This window comes from Homo sapiens, chromosome 1 (genome assembly GCF_000001405.40).
Source record: "Homo sapiens chromosome 1, GRCh38.p14 Primary Assembly".
Classification (NCBI taxonomy): Eukaryota; Metazoa; Chordata; class Mammalia; order Primates; family Hominidae; genus Homo; species Homo sapiens.
In genome coordinates, this window is record NC_000001.11 from 3,523,743 (window position 1) to 3,537,174 (window position 13,432).

General features: G+C 62.6%; 1 protein-coding gene across 23 annotated transcripts in view, besides 3 other annotated features; it reads right to left on the minus strand.

The window, feature by feature from the left end:
* Positions 1-13,432, minus strand: part of MEGF6 (multiple EGF like domains 6) — a 136,836-nt gene that overhangs the window by 35,792 nt on the left and 87,612 nt on the right. For 9 of the 23 annotated variants that reach the window (XM_017000533.3, XM_011540886.3, XM_047448232.1 and 6 more), the window contains one exon: positions 382-504. The exons of 4 other annotated variants lie outside the window; for them this stretch is intronic. In XM_017000533.3, the coding sequence (XP_016856022.1) occupies positions 382-504 (123 nt within the window). Of the gene's footprint in view, positions 1-381; positions 505-642; positions 1,341-7,337; positions 7,670-13,432 lie in introns of those variants that run through there. 10 more of the 23 variants (XM_047448255.1, XM_047448245.1, XM_047448238.1 and 7 more) reach the window with 3 other exon arrangements.
* Positions 5,535-6,222: an enhancer, noted in NCBI's record as "H3K4me1 hESC enhancer chr1:3445841-3446528 (GRCh37/hg19 assembly coordinates)". NCBI's record gives its function as "activates a minimal SCP1, AML or CMV promoter by ChIP-STARR-seq in primed H9 embryonic stem cells {active_cell/tissue: H9 hESC(primed)}" and the evidence as "EXISTENCE:reporter gene assay evidence [ECO:0000049][PMID:30033119]".
* Positions 6,911-7,596: an enhancer, noted in NCBI's record as "H3K27ac-H3K4me1 hESC enhancer chr1:3447217-3447902 (GRCh37/hg19 assembly coordinates)". NCBI's record gives its function as "activates a minimal SCP1, AML or CMV promoter by ChIP-STARR-seq in primed H9 embryonic stem cells {active_cell/tissue: H9 hESC(primed)}" and the evidence as "EXISTENCE:reporter gene assay evidence [ECO:0000049][PMID:30033119]".
* Positions 9,659-10,345: an enhancer, noted in NCBI's record as "H3K4me1 hESC enhancer chr1:3449965-3450651 (GRCh37/hg19 assembly coordinates)". NCBI's record gives its function as "activates a minimal SCP1, AML or CMV promoter by ChIP-STARR-seq in primed H9 embryonic stem cells {active_cell/tissue: H9 hESC(primed)}" and the evidence as "EXISTENCE:reporter gene assay evidence [ECO:0000049][PMID:30033119]".

Below are 13,432 nucleotides of genomic sequence, written 5' to 3' on the forward strand. Positions count from 1 at the left end.
AACCAGGCCAGGTCCCTGCTGATAACCACGGCAGCTTCTGTTGTAGAGAATCTTTAATAGGATCTCCACCCACGGGCTCACTCCCCTGTCCACTGGGAGGGGCCTCAGCATCACAGCGGGGCTTAGTGTGGCTGCAGAGGGTCTGCAGCCAGGGTCCTGGGGACCTGGCAACTTGGCATTCAGTCCTTTTACCGGCCTGAGCCTGGGGCAAGGTGCGGGCAGGATTCCATAGAGCCATGCTCCGCAGGAAGGAGCCACTGCCAGAGCGGCCTCTGCCTCTCCATGTCCACAGCCACCCTCTCAGGCCAGGCCTGGGCACACCCCAGAGGGTAGGGATGGCTGAAGCCAGGAGCCCAGGCAGGGTCTCCAGGCGACACTCACCCAGGCAGGTCCTGCTGTCAGTGTGGAGCCGGAAGCCGGGCTTGCACTCACAGAGGTAGGAGCCTGGGGTGTTCACGCACCGGTGCTGGCAGCCACCGTTGTGGGTTCGGCATTCGTCCACATCTGAGCAGGAATGGGGAAGGATCAGCAGCTGGGCACCTGTGCCCTCCTGCTTTGCCAACACAGCCCCCCAGGTGCCGGGGGCCCAGACCCAGGTCCCTCCCGTGCCTCGAGGGCACCACCCATGAGCCCCTCACCCACATCTGCCGGAGACGCAGCAGAAGAGACAGGGTCTGTGCTTCCACCTTGGACACCTGCTCGAGAAGGAAGAGCCACCGCCTCGAGGGCCGGCCAGAAGGTGGGGAGTAGCAGAGGGCTCCAAGGACAGGCTGGGCCTCTAGCGCCTTTCAAGACTGAACCGGGAGCGCACGCGGTTTTCTTAAGTCCAAATCTACAAAGTGCTTCCTGGGCGGTGTCAACCGCTCCACCAGGACCCACAAGCCCAAAAAGAGAAACTGACAGCTTTTGAGACGGCCATGCCCAGGCTGTGGGGGGAAGCCTGAGAAAGGGGAGGGCGTGCTGGCTTCAAGAGTGTCCCCGCAGTTCATGGCCATCTGGAGCCTTCCAGTGAGGCCTTGTCTGGAAACAGGGTCTTGGCAGCTGTCCTAAGTTCAGGCTCGAGATGAGATTGTTCCGGATGAGGGTGAGCCCTAAATCCAATGCGCCTATCCCAACAAGAGACACACAGAGAGGGCCATGTGGAGACCAGGCAGATTGTGGTGACGAGGCTACGGGCTAAGGACGGCCAGAAGGAAGAGGCCAGGAAGGTCCTCTCTATGGGTTCATAGGGAGCGTGGCCCCGCGGACACCTTGGGTTCAGAATCCTGGCCTCCAGATGGCGACAGAAGAAACTTCTATAGTTTGTAGCCACCCCGTTTGCGGTGTTTGTTCCAGCAGCCCTGGGAAACCAATGCAGCTGGGGTCAGCCTGGGCCCCCCACACCCACAGGCTCCCCGTGCAAGGACCCAGAAGGCCACCATATCCCAGGACAGAAGCCTTCGCTGTGCCGGCACCCTCCCCCATGAAGTGCCACCCGCCATCCCAGAGCAGCCCAGACCCCGTCAGACCCTCCCTGCCCAAGGGCCAGCTTGGTTTAGAACCACGTGTCCTCAGGTTCCAGACTTAGCTGATGCCCCACTCAAAGGCGGTAGAGGGGAGTAGGAGAGCAGGAAGGGGTCGAGAGCAGCCTGGTCCTGAGGCCTCTCCCCGCATCTGCGCTGCCTGGACTTCCACAGCCTGGGGACCAGCCAAGGGGGCAGAGCAGCAGTCCAAGGCCACAGACACCTCGCAGGACCCTTGTCCCTCCCACTGCTTACCAAGCCCCCTGAACAAGCGTGGCTGAAGAGAGCAGGGAGGGATCCAAGGGCAGGTCCACTTTTGAGAGGACGCCTCCCATCACAGGACACCTGGGCCTACCTGCTCCTGTCCCCAGCCCCGTGGCACAGGCCACAGGGAAAGTGCTGGCTGGAAGCCCAGAGGCCCAGCAGGACCCCCGGGATGCACCATGAGCTGAGAGCCGGTGGTGCTCCAGGCATCCTTCCCCTGAGACCCTGCCAGGGCTGGAGACCCAGGGGGCTGCACCCAGGCCCATCACCACCCTCTGCAGGAACGCAGCGGGAAAGCACAGATGTGCAGATGGCTTCGGGCTGCCCAGCCTCTCATGCCACCCTCCAGGCCCCCCTCGCCAAGCTGGGCCTCGGGGGAATCCAGGCAGCGATCGAGGCAAACAGAACAGAGCAGACAGGCAGGAGGCCACAGGCTTCCTGGACACCTGTGTGTGCAGCCCCTGGGCTAACCTGGGTCAGAAGCCCTGCAGCTGCTGGGCCCCTGCCAGCTGGCCAGAGCACCCGGCACACAGGGGCTCTCAGAGGAGAAGCCAGTGGTGGGGACAGACGGAGCTGTGCAGCCTCAGCACTGCCCAGAGAACACGCCATGACCCCCACCAGAGAGACTTCCAGAAGCACTCCAGGAGGACTCTCCTAGGGGTCCGGGGCCTCTGGGCATGGCGGAAGCTTTGGAAGTGCCAGTAGTGCCCCGGCCAGAGAGGCCAAGGCTAACATGAGGGAGAGACCACACGGGCCACATGGACAACATAGACCAACTATAGGAGGTGCCAGGAGAGGAGGGCAAGAGCCCGGTACCCAGGCCAGGGCAGACATGGGCATTGCCCCAGCCACCGCAGTCCACGCCTGCTACTCAGGCCAGGTGACACCTATTTTTTTTTTTTTTTTTTTGAGACAGTCTCGCTCTGTCGCCCAGGCTGGAGTGCAATGGTGCAACCTCGGCTCATTGCAACCTCCACCTCCCAGGTTCAAGCGGTTCTCCCTGCCTCAGCCTCCTTAGTAGCTGGGATTACAGGCACCCGCCACCACGCTCGGCTAATTTTTGTATTTTTAATAGAGACAGGGTTTCGCCATGTTGGCCAGGCTGGTCTCCAACTCCTGACCTCAGGTGATCCACCCGCCTTGGCCTCCCAAAGTGCCGAGATTACAGGCCTGAGCCACCGTGCCCAGCCCAGGTGACACCTTTTATCCGACAACCTCACCCACCCTGCAGCCGGGTTCACAGATCTGAAGGGAGGGAGGGGCCGCTGAGAGCCGCCAAAGAGTCACCATGGGGAGAAAGATACACAGGTGCTCTTCCAAAAGCTATGAGCCGAGCATCTGGGGCCCTCTGGCCAGGGTGACAATGGAGGCCCCGCCTGCTGACCTTGCCTCGAGAGGGAAGGCAACATTTAGCTCAAAATGCCACCAGCAGACTCCCACTGGGCTTGGCCTCTCTGGGAGAAAATATTATGATTTCAAAAGACAAGTCCTCGACCGTGTGGGAAACATGGCTGGCCTGATCCCTCGCTTCCAGGGGCTGCATAGAGCCAAGGTCTCCCTAATTCTGCTTAACAATCGCCAGGTCCATGATCGGCTGTGACCACCAAGGCCTTCCCACCACCCTCCGGTTCCCACCCACGGTCCCTGTGAAAATGCCCACCTTCCAGGCTCCATCCTAAAACTCTGGCGTCAGAGCACTGTTGACAGGTGCAAGCGGCCAGCGCCAGCACACACCAAGAAGCTCTTCATAGCTGTCTCCAAGCCTGAGTCAACGGATGGTACCCACCCACCAGGCTGTGCCTGCCACCTATGGAAACCCTGCTGCCCATCCACGCTCTGAGAATGTGCCTGCAACCCAGAGATGACACGAACAGCCCCAGGAGGCCAGGGTCTCTGCCTGGGACCTCCAGGGCCATCTACTGGAGGCACAAGACACACCCACTCTGGGGAGACCCCGAGGGTCCCTAAGCCCTGAGGCTGCCTCCCAGAGGGGGCTGCAAATGAGACCAGGAGCCCCTCTCCACCTGCACCATGAAGTCGCCACCACAACCTTCACAAAGGCCAGGATGGTTTGCGGGAAGATGCTGGAAAGCAAAGGGTTAACGGGCCCCCAACAGCGCCCCAAAGAAGCTGGAGGGACAGAGGGACCTGGTGCCCTCCAATGAGAGTCAGCTGGGGGCAGACTCATGCCCACTGGGCAGGGCAGTGTGGGTGGCACCCACCTGAAGGGCTCAGGAAGGAGACCCTTTCCCCCTGAGCTCAGATCCCTCCATCCAAGACCCCCGAGAGGGTCTCTGAAAAGTAACGATGTAAGTGTCCTCCTGCTACGTGGACAGGAACGCTGGGACTCCAGCATCCCAGCCGGGTTCGGCTCCACCTCTCTCAGCCACTAGTCCCTCCAGAAATTCCACGCTCCCTCTGAAAATGCACAGGCCCAGGTCGGCTAGGCCAAGCCCTTCTCACCCCAGCAGCACCATCTGGCAGTGGCAGGGGGCTGTGGTGGGGGAGACAGGGCCTGGGTGGGGGTGCTGAAGCGCACCCAGGCTTCCGGTGCCTGCTATTTGCTGTCAGCCAGGATCAGCTTCTGGACACAGCGAGCCAGCTCAAGGGTGAAGGATTTGGGGCCTCCCACTTGGACGACAGAGGCCTACAGGGACAGGCACTGGGCCAGACAACCTCCTGCTGGGGTCCCCTCCACTCTGAGATCTCAGCCCCTTTGAACTGAGCAAATCCCCTTAATAGAAATGATTTTCACTCAGAAAGCAAGGTAGGAACGCGTCACCCAAACCCTCTCTGCCCCACTCCCAAGGCACCCCACGTGATGGCAGGGCTGAGCTATTCCCAGACGGCTCCAAGGACCCCGCAGGTGCTGAGCCGGTGACCCTGGCTGCGGCTGTGATCTGAAGAGCCGTAGGCGCAGTGGCCTTTCAGGACAATGTGGTCAGCTGAATAACGAATGTCCCCCAGACATGTCCACATCCTCATCCACAGACCCTCATATGGCAGAGGGACCTACCTTTGCAGATGGGACTGAGTTGAGGATCTGGATGGGAGGTTATCCTGGCATATCCAGGTGGGCCCAACATGATCACAGGGTCCTTATAAGAGGGAGGCAGGAGGGTCAGAGGGCGGGGAGGAGGAGATGTGAGCGTGGAAGCAGAGGTCGGAGGGAGGCAGGGATTGGCAGGTGCTGTGCTATAGGCTTTGAGGATGGAGGAGGGGCCACAAGACCAGGAATGCAGGCGGCCTCTATAAAGCTGAAAGGGGCAAGAGACAGACTGTCCCCTAGAGCCTCCAGAAGGAGCACAGCCCTGCCCACGCCTTGATTTTAGCCCACTTTGGACTGGGCCTCGCAGGACTGTCAGGTAATAAATCCGTGCTGTCCTAAGTGCTGAGTGTGTGGTTATTTGTTACCGCACCCACGGGGCACAACTGCAGAAGATACCACTGTCGTCTCAGGAGTCACAGACACTCGGACCATCTGGGCTGGAAATCGGGGCTCCCAGTGCCAGCTCTGCCAGACCGGCCCCCCGACTCCTGTGCCTCTGTGGGGCTGGTCACACAGCCAGGTTCACGGGAGCCGCGTGCCCTGCAGAAGCTTGCTCCCTGGGTTCCCTCCTTTGCAGACCTGTGATCCAGGACCATCCCGTGCTGCCTACACACAGACCATGCTGCCCACTGAGCCCTGTAGTGGGACCAGGGCCCCCAGGAAGCACTGGCCCCCGAGACTCAGAGGCCAGTGTGGGGGCCTGAGCCTGAGGTTAGCGGGGCCCCAGCAAAGGCCGAAAGGAGCTTGGAGGCCCCTATGAGTCAGGCGACAAAACCTGCTCATTCCAGGGACAACGGCCCACCCTGGAGGCAAATCCACTGTCCCTGTCCAGCCCCAGGCCAAGCCCCACACGGGGCAGGGGGCAGGCCAGAGAGGCCCCAGACAGCTGCGACATGAACCTGGGGGGAGCCATCTGGTGAGAGACGAGTGGGCTCAGAGAGCGGCTATTTTAAGGAACAGCTGGGCCAGGATCCTGCTGCTGCCCTCGGCTAGATACGAGACTATGGACTTTGGCAGCCTCACAAGAGAACTGTCAGCACACTGGCACACAGCGACACGGCTGTGCCAACACGGGCTGGTTCACCAGGAGCCTGGCGAGACCTGCAGTGTCTACCAGGCTGGGAGGTGGAGGAGCCTCAGGGAGCCCATGGGGCCCCCAGCGACCACCACCCACGTCCCACAGCTCCCAGCCCAGGACTACACAGGCAGGTGGACAGGCATGGCTGGGCTGCCTCGAACCAGCTGCCTCTGCAGAAACCACCCAAGACGCGCCCCTTCCGAAGCCCACCTGGACTTATAGGAAACTTGGAGGGCTCTGGGCCCCTGCCAGAAAGCTCCGCTCAGGGCAGTTATCAAGTTCCAAGCCCTGCTTTGTCCCCACACTTGCCACGGGGTCCTCACCCCCAGGGAGCACACACCATTACCTATGGGCCCTTCTCCTCTCTCCCCCAAAAGCTGGAGCACGCTTTAGACCAGGACAGGGGCTCCCAGCTCCCGAGCGCCCAGCGACACCCAGCCAGAGGCCTTGGATGCTTCGCAGTCGCAAGGCATTTAGTGGCACTGTGGGTGGACCTGGCCTTGGCTGAGCCGCCCAGCCGGAAGGCTGCCTACCCAGCGAAGATGGAGCCTGGGCTGCCCTAGGCCAAGTGACCAAGCCAGGGAATGAAGGAAGCCTTTGCCACACTGAGGGCGTGGTGCTTAGTCCTTCACGCAGGAGAGAGGCAGAAGCTCGGCCTGGCACTCGAAACAGCTAAGGAGGGGTGACGTCTCTAAGGAGCCATTTCAGGGCCCCCCGCCAGCCACTGCCTACCCCCGGGTGATGCGGCTGACGACTCACTGGGAGCCGCAAACCCCACACTCCCTCCTCCAATTCCACCCCCTCCTCCAATTCCCGAGGGTGCCCAGCTCCAAGCTCTGTGGATCCCAGGGAGTTCAAAGCAACCACCTGGAGGGAGGCGGGCCTAGTGCAGGCGCCAGATCCCAGCTGCAGAGAGAGGCAGGACGGAACGAGAGCAGGGCTGTAACCTGCTTCCCAGGCCACCAGGGTTCTCAGCTGCCCATGCCTGTGGGGCTCCAGGAAGAACGGCACCTGCCACATCCACAGACAGGACCCCAAAGGGGCTGAGCTCTGGAGACCCCGGAGACTCAGCTCCGGGGGTCTCAAAGGGCCTTTGTCTCCAGCCTGCCTTTTCACTTGACCCGCAGAGTCGCCAGTGCCATGGGGAGCGGGGAACCCTGCTCCCACAGACAAAGTCAGGGGATGTTTTTCTTTCCTCCGGTCAAGGGACCTGGCTGTTAGTAGCCTCTGCCGACAGCCCTGAGAGGGGACGGGGGTGACCGACTCCTCAGCGCCCACGGACCCTGTCCCAGAAGCAGGCGCGCCTGCCGGGCACTGCCCCGCCCTGCTCCCTCCAGCCTAGCAGGCAGCGCCCTGGCGCAAACTTTAAAAACAGGAAACAAAGGGAGCGCGCCGGGGAGCGCCCTGGCCCCGCCCGCCCTGCCCAGGCTCGCCCGGCGCCCACCTGGCCTCTGGTCACCGGCGCTCACGGGGTAGCCGGCCTGGCCCAGGTGACATGGGTAGCAGCCCCTCCAGAGGTAGCGGTAGTGCGTGCCCGCGACGCGCGCCAGGCCCCCCAGGAGCCCAAGGCACCAGAGCGCGGCCAGCCCGCGGTCCCGGGACGCCCCCATGGCCTGGTAGGCCGGCGGGCGGGAGGGGGCGAGGACCAACCGCGCTGCGCCCTAAGCCGGCGGCCGGGCGACGGGGCAGGCGGCTCGGGCTGGTTCTGGGTTCCGGGCGGGCGCGCAATCCCAGCCCCGGGATCCGCTCCGCTCGGCGCCGCCCGGGAGCCGCTCTGGGCCGGGCGCGCCCCGCCCCTCGCCTTTAAGTTCTCAGCTTTCCCTCCGCCCCGCAGGTAAAGGCCAAGTCCGCAGACAACCGAGGGAGCCGCCCCCGGCCCCGCCCCGAGCCCCGCCCCACCTCCCCCAGGGGGCCGCGCCGGCCCGCCCGCCCCGCGCATTCCAGCGTGCGCGCTCCCGGACCCGGACGCAGATAGGGACCTAGGCACAAACGCAGACATCCACATGTGACCCACAGACACAGGCACACAGACTCACGTGTGCAAACATGCACACAGGAGGTACACAGACACGCACGGACATACGCACAGGCACACACATGCACAAACATGTGTGTTCTTGGAGCCAACACGGAAAAGAAGCCAAAGCAGCAAAGGGAGCCGTCCTGGCCGGGCCGCGGGGCGGGGGAGGGGGGCCGCGGGGCGGGGGAGGGGGGCCTGCAGAGGCGGCTGGTGGGGCTGAACTCTGACAAGGGTGGGGAAGATGGGGAACTGGTTTGAAGCTGCAGCACCGATGTGGAAACATGGGCTGAGACACCCCCAGTCCCCACGTCCAGTGCCTGCACTGTCCTGTCCTCCCCTGGCCCAGGGCCCCATACTTGGAGGGAGCCTGGGCGAGGGAAAGCTGGCATCCCTGCAGCAGGTGGTGACGGACAGAGAGCAGGGAGAACTTGCCTGCAGGGTGGCCAGCAGTGCCCAGGTGTCAGGCTGCAAAGGCCACGGAGGTGCTTCCAACCCCAGAGCCCTGGGTCCCCACGCTCCTCGAGGGCATAGCCCGGGGGAGGCAGTCCTCCCAGGGTCGGCAGCAGAAGGAACCACAGATTAGAGCCTCGTCAAGCACTTAACCTCTGCAGGAGAGCCAGGGCTGTGATTCCGGCTTGGATCAGAGTCCCCAGAGCCCCCCATCCTCTCTGAGCCCCTTCTCGCACCTATCCTTGGTCGGGGGTCACTGGGCTCCCACTCCTAGCCTCCATGGAGATGGAAGAGCTGTGACCAGCAAGCTGTGGTGCTCAATGACCCTCAGCAGTGATCCCTGCCTGGGACCAGCCCAGCACCACCTCCAGCACTGGCGGTGAGGGTCCACAGAAGGACTGGGCGCCCGCCCACACTGTTCCCGGCCTTTCCAGGAAGGCCCGAAAATCTCCCTCCGAAATGCAGTGGAAGTGTCCCTGGAGCTCAGCCTGTTCCCAGAGATGCAGCCTGTGTCTCCTCCCAGAGGACAATAGGTGAGCGGTGGGCACAAAGCCACATGACTGGGGCCACTGCAGAGACAGAAAGCTTGGGGATACCTTCCAGCTGTCAGGAAGGAGGAGGGTGCATGCTCCCTGGGCCAGCAGGCCCTGTATGTGGGCAAGCCTAGGTCAGGAGCATAGCCACGGGTAGAGCTGTGGGGAAGAAGGACTGCCAACCTCAGCTGCGGCCGCTGTGCCAGGCCCTGGGTTCTGGGGATGCAGTGCCATCCTCACCATTCCCTGCAGGGGAGGGCTACTGTCCCCATTTTAGAGGTGAGGAAACTGAGGCCCAGACAGACTAAGATGCTGTCCTCAGGTCAAATTCAATTGAGCAGAACTCCAGCCCCGGCAACTCAGGGAAGCAGGCGGCCCATCCCGGCAGAGCCTCCACCTTCTCTCCACTCTCCACTACAGCCAGGGGCCCACCTGCTGGCCGAGACCCACCCCTCAGAAGCCTGCCCAGTGCTAAGATGTGGCAGAGACAGTCTCTGCTGATCCAGGGCACCTGGGAGCAAGGGCTGAGGGGCCATCCTTGAGCGCGTGGGAAAGAAGAGGCCCCACCCAGTCCCAGCCTGTCTCACCTTGCCCCGTCCTGTCTGCCATCCAGAGGCCAGCCCGCCCCCTTGGCCCCCAACACTCTGCAGAAATGGGCCTGCCTGGGCCCTGCCTGTCTGCGGGGCCTCCTGGGGAGCCCCTCCCATCAGCCTCTGAGCCCTTGCCATGAGGAGCCTCTAAATCGCACGGATAGACAGGCTGACGGGCCTGTTTGAAGGCACCTTCCACGCAGGGCAACATCATTTATGACCGTAATGTGCAACTCATTGCCAACAACTCACCAGTTAGTGCCAACAGAAGCTCGAGGGTCCCGCCCTCCGCAGCCACAGCCCAACAGGGCCTCAGCCCAGCAGTTTCCATGGAGGTAGGGGCCAGGCTTGAGAGGGGTGCAGGGGAAGACACCAGAGGCCAGGCCTGCAAGGGCACGGGCTGCGGAGGCAGCATCCATCCTCCAGGAGGTGCACGACCGGCCACCCTGCGAGCGAGCTCTCTCTGGTCTCTGTCCCTCTCCGCCTGCTACAGGATGGGGCCCAGTACTCGGCGGGAGCCTGGGCAACAGAATCCCTGCACCTCCGACTCCAGTCACCCTCACCAACAGGCGACGGGGCTGGGGTCCTCCATCAGCACCCCATCTGGGGAAGGTTCCTCAAGAGGCCCTTCCTTGAAGGGATGCTGTCTCCCAGCTCAGGCAGGCCCCACTCTGACACCCTCCAGGCTCCGGGGTCTTGGGAGGAGGAAGAAGCCCACAGGAAGCAGGAGGCACCAGCCGCACCCTCAGGATCCCATGCTGTCCCCCAAGTCTTGCCCACCCTGGGAAAGGGCTCCTGCCTCGTGCTGTCTCGAGGAGGAGGGAGGAGCCCAGGAGCCGCTGCGCGAGGCCCCAAGCAGGGAAGGTCAGGCACTCGGAGTCTACGGCCAGCCGGAGCCCACAAGCCCCAAAGGCCACCGAGCCATGCACCGTGGCTTGTCCCAGTGGACCTGCGTGCTAGCGTCACACATGTCACCTTCTCAGTCAGTATGTTCTTAGCAAGAAAGAATAGAAGAGAACTACCCAGTGAGCCATTTTTATATGGACTGCAATGCTGAAAAGGATCATATTTGCACCTATTATGTTAAATAAAATATACTATTAAAATCAATTTCACCTATTTGTTTTTGCTTTTCTGACGTGGCCCTGAGAAACTGTGAGACAGCATGTATGGCTTGCGTGTGTGGCTCACATTCTGTTTCTGTTGGACAGCCCCAGCTTTGCTAGTAAGAACTGAGGCCCCAGGCGAGCTGTGGAAACACTCTGTGCCTCAGTTTCCCCATCTGTAACACTAGCACCTCCCTCCTGTGGGAAAGGCGCTTGACTGAGGATCCATAAAAGTCAACAAACGTGGGAGTGGGAGGCCGAGTCTGGAGGCCTGACCATGCCCCTTCCCGGCCCTTTGCTCCAGCAGACACCCCAAGGCCACGCAGAGACCCATGGCAGAGACAGTGTCCAGAGCTGATTCCCAGAGGGCGGGGGACGTCCTGGGAACTGTCCACCTCCTAAGCCATGGTGGACACAGCCATGGTCCGGAGACATCCTGGAAGCCAGCCAGGGACCGGAGCCCTGGCCCTCTCCCTTGATAGCCATCACCTCCATACCCCCACCTCAGCACCCCACCAGAGCCATCTGGGGGCCACCACTCCAGCCCCTCCATTCCCCTTGGGGCTGCCATCACCCCTTCCATTCATCTGGACTCCAAATCCCGCGTCCATCCAGGGTGAGGGCTGGGCTACCACAGCCCGTGTGCCCAGTACCCAGTGCAGGACTGGGGCCACAGAGGCAGCTCCTGGCCCACTGAAGGGCTGTATGGCATGGCCACATCCCGGGGCATCTCTGGCCTCAGTTTCCTCATCTGTGCATGGGCAGAGGCCTGAATGAGACCAGCTCAGGGGCCCTGAAGCAATGAGACACATGACTCGGGAAGGAGAACCAGGGCCAGGTGTGTCACCGCGACGGTGCCCGTGGGATCCAGGCAGAGGAGGGCAGCCAACAGAGCAGGGCGAGCCTCCAGGGAACAGCTGTCACAGCGCAGCGAGGCCTTCGGGAAGCTTCCTGACAACAAGTTCAGGCAAAGGAAATTGTCTTTTCTGCCCCAAAACCCCCAAGAGCTATGGGAGCCTCCTGGTATCACATCCCCATCTCACCCTCAGGGTCACTCACATCAGACACCCTCATCTGACAGGCAGCAGGGAGGCTGCCCCTCTCCAGAAGGCTGCCCCTCTCCAGAAGGCTGCATCCAACCCTCTGGTCCTCCACACAGACCACCCTGGCCCTACACAGGCTCCTCCTATCCCGTAGCCGGGAGTCCCCCGCTTCTGCTCCTCTCCTCCTCATCTGCTGCCCCATGCCCACCCGCCCACCTCCCCTCTGCCCTCACATACAGGCCATGATTAAACCCTCATTCTGCCCAGCTGGAACCCCAGTGTGGGGGCCCCCCAGCGGCCCTGGGTCCTGCCTTCTGCCCACGGCTCCTGGGACATTCTCCTGGGGTTTCGCTAAGCCAGTTTCCAGAGGAGAAATGACTTCCCCAGGGTCATGCAGGGAAGAGAAGTGCGGCCCAGGGGAACCAGGTCTGACTCTCCCCCAAATCCTGTCCTCACTGGGCCACCTCCTTCGGGTTCCTCCAGGGGAATGGCTCGGGCAGGCACCCACAGGCGCCCCTCTGGTTGGGCACAGGGTCTCTCCTGCTCATCACCCTCCCCAGGCCATGGCAGGCGCCAGGCAGACTGTCGGGCAGGGCTCAGTGCTGCAACTCTCCAAGGGGGCATCCCTGGGGCCTGGACAAAGAGTTTCTAGGCAGCTCCGGCTTCGCACCCTGGCTCTGGCCGTCCTCTGGTGGCCTCGGCTTCCCTGAACGAGCCTTCCCTGGCAGTCTAGACACTCACCCTTCCTCCCGCCCAACAGACCATGACCTCCGATGCATCCTTCAAAGACACCAACTCAGAGGTCACCTCTGCAAAGCCTCCCCAGCTGGCCGGCCCACCCTAGGCTGGACCCCCCTACCCCTGCCCACCCTCCTCTACGACACCCCTTCATTGGCTCATTCATTTAGTTTTTTATGCAACAACGATGTGTGTGCCCACCACAGGCAGGACATGGCTCTGGGGTACGGGGGCATCGCCCCACCCAACTGAGACGTCCGTCCAGGTCCCCACAACCTGGAAGAGCTGGAGTATAAATGAGCCCCAGCTGAAGCTCTGGGGTGCGGAGGGCTCTGGGCCGTCCCTCCTGCTAGGCTAGGGAGGAGCCCGGGCGTGGCCGTGGGGGGCAGCAGCCCACCGGTAGAGAGCGCCTCCCAGGCCCAGGCTGCACCCACAACACCCCCTCCCCTACTCAGTGCCGCCACCGAGCACGTCCCAGCCGGAGAATGTGGGGTCTGGAAGCTGTTTGGGAAATGCTTTCCTGATGTGGAAACGCAGCCGGCGTCTGTGCCTGGGAATGTGTGTGTGTCAGCAGAAGGCTCTCCCAGCCCCCAGCGGCTGGCTCCAGCTTCTCCCCTCTCCAAGCTGGGCGGCCACCAGGCTCCTGCCAGGACCCAGGCCAGATCGAGGGCCAGTGCCACCCCCAAATGTCACTGCTCCCCCTTGGGGCTGGGCCCTGACTCCGGAACTTCAGGCAAAACCAGAGCCTGGAAGTGGACGAGGTCCAGCCAACACCCCCAACTGCTGTGTGTGTCTGTCCCTCAGTGCTCACCTCCGACACCCGCTCCACAAGGCCCCCCTCCAGCCTTGCGGCTCAGGCGCCTGGACACGTGCCTCTACCTCCCTGAGAGGGAGATGATGCCGGGCTGTCCACGCTGCCCTGGCCTCTGAATGCAGAGCTAGTGTTGGGCGAAGCTGGGCTGGGTGTGGGAGCCAGAGAGGCTGTGGGCATAGTGGGGGCTGCCTTCACCCAGGTTCCTAGGGGCTCAGGCATGGGGTGAGGGGGCTGCCAGTGGGGCC